At 53.7% G+C, this 7,730-nt stretch overlaps 1 annotated feature.

Moving 5' to 3' along the window:
- Positions 6,793 to 6,842: a silencer, noted in NCBI's record as "silent region_18666". NCBI's record gives its function as "represses an Ori minimal core promoter by ATAC-STARR-seq in GM12878 lymphoblastoid cells {active_cell/tissue: GM12878}" and the evidence as "EXISTENCE:reporter gene assay evidence [ECO:0000049][PMID:35858748]".

Here is a 7,730-nt window from a genome sequence, read left to right as displayed (position 1 = left end):
ATGAAGATTAAGTTAAGATACATAAGAGAAACCCCCAAAACAGAGCCTGACACAGAAGAAAAAAAAATGAAAACATTCATTTTCTTATCATTATTATGTTGCAATTTTTTTAATTTTTTTTTTTTTTGGAGATGGAGTCTCACTCTGTTGCGCAGGCTGGAGTGCAGTGGCACAATCTTGGTTCACTGCAACCTCCACCTCCCGGGTTCAAGCGATTCTCCTGCCTCAGCCTCCCAAGTAGCTGGGACTACAGGCACGTGCCACCATGCCTGGCTATTTTTTTGTATTTTTAGTAGAGATGGGGCTTCACCATGTTAGCCAGGATGGCCTCGATCTCCTGACCTTGTGATCTGCCTGCCTCAGCCTTCCAAAGTGCTAGGATTACAGGTGTGAGCCACCGCACCTGGCCCATGTTGGAATATTTTCTAAGAAAAAATATGGAAGCCAAGAAGAAATCATTCCATTAAAGTCACAAGCTCTTAATGTGTCCAGTTTAAGGTTTCACTTGAGAAGCAAGAACTGGAAAAGATTTAGGGAATAGAAATTGCAAGAATGACTAGGGATTGAAAAGCAGAATGCTTGAGGAAAGGTTAAAGGAACCAGATTTTCTTTGGACTTGAAGAGGAAAGAGTTGAAAGAGACTTAAAAACAACCTTTTCAAAATAAAAAAAAAGGGGCCCAGCTGCTGTCCATCTCCACCAGAATGGAAGGGGACACCACTCTGACCTGGTTGGGGTTGAGGGTGGGGGGCTTGAATTCGGCATCAGAGGAATCTGTGTGGCTACAAGGAATGTCAGAACTACTGAGAGAAAAGTGGAGCCATTTCCCTGCATATTTCCTTGGAGGTGCTAAAAAAATCGACCCAGGTGCATAGATGAGGACAAGCTGGTCTTTAAGCAGAAAGTACTGCCATCTGTGTAGTTGGTTTGCTGCAACATGAGTCAAAATTTCCTGCATTATCTTCTCCTGTGAACCTGCCTGGCTGCTCCACATTTCTGTTTTACTTATTACTTTGCACAAAACCATTTGTGGTTCCTACCAGAGGATAAATGCTACCTGGAAGGCTTTTTCCTGGAAAGGAATCATTAGCAGTCTCTAACACTGTAACTCCTTCAATGAGCTCTTACCAATCGGGAGAACGCTCAGGAAAGGGACACAGAATAAGTATGGGTTTTTTTGTTGTTATCGTTGTTTTTGTTGTTGTTTTGTTTTGTTTGTTTTTTTGAGACAGAGTCTCCCACTGTTACTAGGGCTGGAGTCCAGTGGCGAGATCCTCCCAGGTTCAAGCAATTCTCCTGCCTCCGTCTCCCGAGTAGCTGGGATTACAGGTGCCCACCACCATGTCTGGCTAATTTTTTTTGTATTTTTAGTAGAGACAGGGTTTCACCATGTTGGCCAGGCTGGTCTCGGACTCCTGACCTCATGATTCACCTGCCTTGGCCTCCCAAAGTGCTGGGATTACAGGCGTGAGCCACCACACCCGGCCACAAGTATGTTTTAAAGCTCAAAGGCAAGGCTGAAATGCCCAGCTTAGGATAACAAGGGTAGGATGTGCTCAGGTTGCAAGGAACAGGCTGGCGGCACTGGAGAGGCCCTAGCTTGGAGCAGGAAGATGGAGGGTAATTTCTCACCATCCTCTACTCATCCTGCTTTAAGCTGGCTCTGTCCCCTCAAGTGGGAGCCCCCTGCAGGCAGGGACTTCTTTGGGGGGATTACTTTATTCCCAGAGCCTAGAAGAGCACATGGTCCCCCTCCCAGGCACATAGACAGGTCAGGTGCACACAGACATGTGGGCCTCCTCCCACCATCCACTGCAGGCACTTGGGCCAGCCATGCAGCTGCCGCTGTGACGTTGAGGTCCCTGGGGACCCAATCCAAGGCTAACACTTCCAGACCCGAACTCAAGAACTGCCTTGTCCTCCCTCCACCTCTCTTCTCAGTACCATTCCCCTGACCCATCTTTCTGGTTTTTCCCACTGCCTCTTCCCCAAGATGTGCCCCTCGTCTGTTTCTGTCTCTTTCCCTCTCTGGATCTGTCCCATCCCTTCTCCTGGATCTGGCCTGCCCCATCCACCTTGTCTCTTCCCCCAATCTGTCCCGCCCTCTGTCCAGCTCTGCCCTCTTCTTCCCCAGCTCTGCCACAGCTCTGCTCCCAGTCAGTTCTGCTTTGCCACATGCCCCACTCGGCCCCCAGTGCTGGTCCTCTGTCCTCTGGCTCCATCGTACTCTCCCCTGTCTGTCCCCACATGTGGACCCACCAATGGTTCTCTTTAGGAGGGAGGAGGGGCTGGGTGCGGTGGCTCACACCTGTAATCCCAGCATTTTGGGAGGCCAAGGCGGGCAGATTACCTGAAGTCAGGAGGTTCAAGACCAGCCTGGCCAACATGGTGAAACCCCGTCTCTAACTAAAAATACAAAAAAATATTAGCCAGGCATTGTGGTGGGCACCTGTAATACCTGCTACTCGGGAGGCTGAGGCAGGAGAATCACTTGAACCTGGAAGGCAGAGGTTGGGGTGAGCCGAGATGGCACTCCAGCCTGGGTGACAGAGTGAAACTCCATCTCCAAACATAATAAATAAATAATAAAATGGGAGGGAGGAGTGAGACTATTCCTAGAGCCCAGAAACACCCCCTCCCTAACTGAGGGAGAGAGAATACACACCTGGTATGTAGTAGAGGCTCGATAATGTGTGATAAACCAGTGAGTGAATGAATGAACACTGCAGAATGAATAATTAAATAACAGTACGCCTGGAAAGCTCAGGAGTGCAGAGAACAGAACCCTGACATCCTCACCACAGGATCTTCTGCAGCATGGAGTACTTCTCAGGTGCGAGCAAATACTGTGTTCAATCCCTGCTTTCTGGGGAGAGGGAGCTTGCGAGAGAGGCCCTGCATCACCCAGGAAAGCAGGGTGACCTCCAAGGCACAGGACAGGGCTGGCCATTGTTTCAGATGGCAGAGAGGACAATGGTGCTGAGGGGCTCCACCCCACCTTGAGGCCCCCCCTCAAAAACTCCCTCTAGGCAAAAAACAATAACAGAAACTCTAGATGCAGGTGAGTTGATCTTTCCTCAAGGGGTTGCAAGTCCCTAGAGACCCTGGGCCAAGCCCTTTGTGGTTGCAGGCACCGTCCTGCAACATCATCCTGCAATGCTGCCAGATGCTGAGTGGCAGGACCCATCACTATGAGTGGAACCTGGCACCTGCCTCCAGTCTCAATTCAGTGGCGCTGACAGCCATGTCCTGAGGGGCCCAGGAATCCAGAAAGGGGAAATGGCTGAGCCCAGTGCAGGGGCTTCCAAAAGCTAGAGCAGCTGGGAGCCGGGGTTCATGTCAGGAGTTTGAGTGCGGTCGGAGGGGGCTGAAGAGACAATGGTGGGGGCACAGAGGACAGCCCCTCTGGTCCATGCAAGGTCAAGAGGGGCCTGGGTGGAGGCTGAGAGCCTGCCTCAAGGCCCGCTGGGTGGGTGTGCCCTTGTCATTGTTACTACCCGGGCTCAGCAGGATACCCTAGAGGACCTGGCCAGTGGAATCCATCCCATCCTCTGCGTTCATCTGAGCCACACCCACGGTCCCCCCCACCGTGTGTTACACAAGCAGCCCCTGAAGGCCACCTTGGCCTCCCCATTAGCGTCACCAGGACAACTCCCCCTCTCAACCCCTGCTGCCCAAAGGAAATCAGCACGTGTTTCCAGGCCTGGCCCCCACGGTGGCCCTGCCGCATCAGGCCCTCTGCTCATCGAGCGCGCACACGCGGCACAAGTCATTAAGACATTCTCGACCTGCGACCGGCAGGCACACACCCACTCACAGAGGTGGCCTCATCGGAGCCCAGGGCCGTGGCCGGGAAGCGCCGGGAGGGTCCCAGGGATGCGGTGCTACTGCCCCCTGCTGGCAGCTTCTGGAACACCGCGGGCTGATGACAAGACAGAATACGCAGAAAGGCCTCCTCCCTTCCTCCACACAGCTTTACAACAGGGAACATTCAGGGGTGCGGCCCTCAGTGGGGACGTGGAACTGGCTGCGGCCAGAATAACTCCCAGTTTGCAGAGAGGGAACGGGCAGCACAGAAAAGGAGAGCAGGGGGAGGAGGGTGAGAGATGGGAGCTCGCAAGCCAGCCTGAAGAGTAAGTGTATACACGCCCCTGCCATCTGCACTGCCCTTCCCAGGTTACAGAGCACGTTCATGTTCACTGAACATCACAGCTCTTCCAGACGACCCTGAAAGGCAGGGGCAGGGCAGGTAGGGTTCCTTCTGTTTTTCCAGTGAGATCATGGAAGCCCAAGGAGCTGGTATCCCTCAACTACAGTGGCACAACCAGGTGCTGGGCTGCACCCAGCATAATGTCTGCCTCTGCTCTGATGTGTGATATTGAACAAGTGTTTCTGGGCCCCTGTGGTGGCCCCAGAGCATGAGAATTTGTTCTGACAAAAACTTCCTCTACCCCCAGAGCCAGACCCAACCTGTTGCCTGGTGACAGGCAGGTGTGGGCGGGGAGAGGCTGGGTCTAACAGTGGTCTGTATTCTCCATAACAGACTGGAAGGCACATTAAGTAGAGATAAGCAGAGGTCTGAGAAAACGTAAGTATTGTAGAGCACAGAGGTCCCGCCCCAGCGTAGCAGCTAGACAGCCCCTAGGATGCTGAGATGCTGGGCTAGCCCCCACAGCAAGGCTGGAGTTCGGATGGTTGATCATTTAACCTTGTGCTCCTGTTGCTTTCCAAGTGTCCGGGAAGAGCCAAGGTCCATAGATAAAAGCAGCCACAGCCGGGCACAGTGGCTCACGGGGAGGCCAATGCAGGTGGATCACCTGAAGTCAGGAGTTCCAGAGCAGCCTGGCCAACATGGCGAAACCCCGTCTCTAATAAAAATACAAAAATTAGCCGGGCATGGTGGTGGATGCCTGTAATCCCAGCTACTCTGGAGGCTGAAGCAGGAGAATCGCTTGAACCCAGGAGGTAGAGGTTGCAGTAAGCCAAGATCACACCACTGCACTGCAGCCTGGGTGACAGAGTGAGATTCCATCTCAAAAAAAAAAAAAGAAAAAGCCACACACCCTGGGTGTGCAACAGGCTGGAGTTGGACTCCTTCTTTTGATGATGGAACCCTCGTCCTCCCTAGGGACAGATCATCTCAAGTCAGCTTCCCCAAACTTCTATCTGGCATCTCCCAGATTCTCCCTGTTCTTGTCTGATCTCCTACTGCCTCTGCCCTAACCATTGCCCAGAGCTCCCCTCCTCCTGTCCTGCCCTTCCCCAAGGCTATGGCCACACCAGGGTCAAGGGCACAAATGGCCCTTCCAAGCACGAGTAAACTGATTGGAGGAAACAAACCCATTCCTCATCCCTGTCTCCAAGTCGCCACAAGCGATAGCAAAATGCATCCTCTGCTCCGGACCGAGGAGCCGGTGACAAATGGAAGACTTGTTCTTCCTCTGAAATTTTTTTTAATGTTGAGAGAGGAGAGGCGGAATATTTATTAGTGCGGAAATGGGACTTGTCGGAGCCTGTGAACGCCCCCACACGTGTCTGTTCTCAAGGAACAAGAAAGACAAGTTAAGGAATCTAAGACCCTTGTGAGCCATGAAGCAGTCTCTCCAGAAATAAAATGTGTACCCAAGCAGGGGCTCCAATCAAACACTTCCACCAGCTAGAAAAGGGGGCCGCCAGAGGGGAAAATCCAGCCCAGCTCCTACCACCACCCCCGGCCCCACTGCACCGTGGACAGTCCACCCCAGCCCTCTCACACCTGACCAAGTACTGCCATCCTTCGCCCCTCCCTGCTGCCCTAGGGCCAGAGGGGCTAAGGCAGCTCAGAAATAGGCTAATTCGGGTACAGGGAATGCTTCCTGCAGGAGGCATCACCTCACAGAGAGCTCTGGGGTCTTTACCCGCTGTGTTCAGGTCTGGCCTGGGCAGCTTTGAGCCTCGTGGCCTTCTTCCCTGCTCACTCCCTCATTCATTCAGGGACCACCCTCCCTCCATGTGCCAAGACAGTGCTGGATCCCATGGGGAAAGAGAGATGAGTAAGACCCTGTCCTTGTCCCCCATCATGGCTGAAAGGGACAACGGGCAACCAAAAGTCGCATTTCTGTGTCGTGTTACTGTGTCGTGAACTTTGACTCAGTGACCTCATCTCAGGTTCCAGGGTGAGAGCTGGTTTCAGAGCTGCATTGCACAGAAGAAGAAACTGAGTCCCAGAGAGATGAGCGGTGGCCCAGCCTGAGCCTGACCCGCAGACTTCGCTCCACACGCTTCCACCCTCCTGCCCGCGGCTAAGCGGCAAGGCTGGTCCTTCGGCCATCGGAGGAGTGGGTTGGATCCTCAAGACAGAGACACGACTACTGGCTGGAGTCCTCAGCTCTGAGGGTGCGGACTTCCACCCACAGTAGTTTCTCACACAAACCAAAAGTCCCCTCCGAAGAGCAGCCCCAACCAGGCGGAGGGGACAGATAACCCGTTTCTGAAGGCTGAAGCAAAGTGGAGAAGTCAGGCGGCCTGAACCAGAGCTCAGAACTGAGGTCCTCGCTGGGGCTGCCCAGGACCACCTTCAAAAGCCACCGTCTGCAAGAGTAACCCACCCCCCCCCCCACCGACAACTCCTGCCACACTCTGTATACCCCAGGGGCTGGACATGTCCGTCTAAAGAGGCTTTCTTGAGGAGAAGAAGAAGATTCTGGCCTAGGCTCGCCCTATCCAATTCTCTCCACACCTTCCTGTCCACCCAGTCCCCCAGGGGAAGCCAATAACCCCTGCAGCTCTGTGGCTGAGGCCATCCCTGCCTCATGTGTTGGTCTCTCCTGCCCTCTGGTGGACAGATCCCAGCAGTGCATCCTGCATAACCCAAATGGAATCACCTTTCCTTCCAGAGCCTCTTCAATCTCTGTTCCTCTTCCCACAGGATCCTGTATCTGGGCCCTGCACCTCCAGGGCCATACTGAAGGTGGAGGTTGCTCTCTGCTCCCTCACTCCCATTCCCCTTATCTCCTCCTACAAATCAAGACCACCTCCTTTCTGACCCCAGCATTCGGGGACCTTCTGGCCTAGCGTCCAGCTCCTTCTGCGTAACTGGTGCCCTGCCCCTGATGCTACTGGGCCTCCCCTGCACCATGACCCCTTCTCCCTGGGTCTCCTTGCCTGGATCTCATCCCTGCTGCCTGCCTGCCAGTCTGGTCTCCTCCCCCACTGAAGGCTCTGATCGTAGGTAAGAGGCTGACCTGGCCCTAAATGCCCAGCTGTGGCCACCAGCTTCAAGGCTCTGGGCAGCCTGTTTCTGAGCCTCTGCTTCCTTGGGCTTGCTGGATTTGCTTGCTGGCCTTGGTTCAACCGACTTCAATTTAACTGGCATTAACCAAGCAGCTCTGCTCTTTAGTAGACATTGTCCTAGGAGCAAAGAGAATAACAGAGGTGAACAGGCTGCAAATCAGTCTACCAGGGAAGGCAGACACAGCAAGAGGTACCCGAGCAGAACGTGCTGGGTGCTGAACCAGGAAGAGCGTCTGAGGACAGCAGGGCCTGGGAGCCCCAGGGAGAGGATTCATGGGGAAAGTGACCTGAATCCTAGGCCGATGGGGGAGCAGGCTCCCCGGCACGGAGCAGAGGGGATGCTGGCTGTGACAACCACCACTACTGAGCACGCCTTTACCTACACTATTCTCACCTCGCCCTAATGCTGAAGTTAAAGCTGATATTATCCTGCTTTTGAAAGATAATAGAGCGTCAGAG

Source organism: Homo sapiens, chromosome 7 (genome assembly GCF_000001405.40).
Source record: "Homo sapiens chromosome 7, GRCh38.p14 Primary Assembly".
Taxonomy (NCBI): domain Eukaryota; kingdom Metazoa; phylum Chordata; class Mammalia; order Primates; family Hominidae; genus Homo; species Homo sapiens.
The sequence above is the reverse complement of the archived record's forward strand: the minus strand, read 5'-3'. Positions and strand labels throughout refer to the sequence as shown.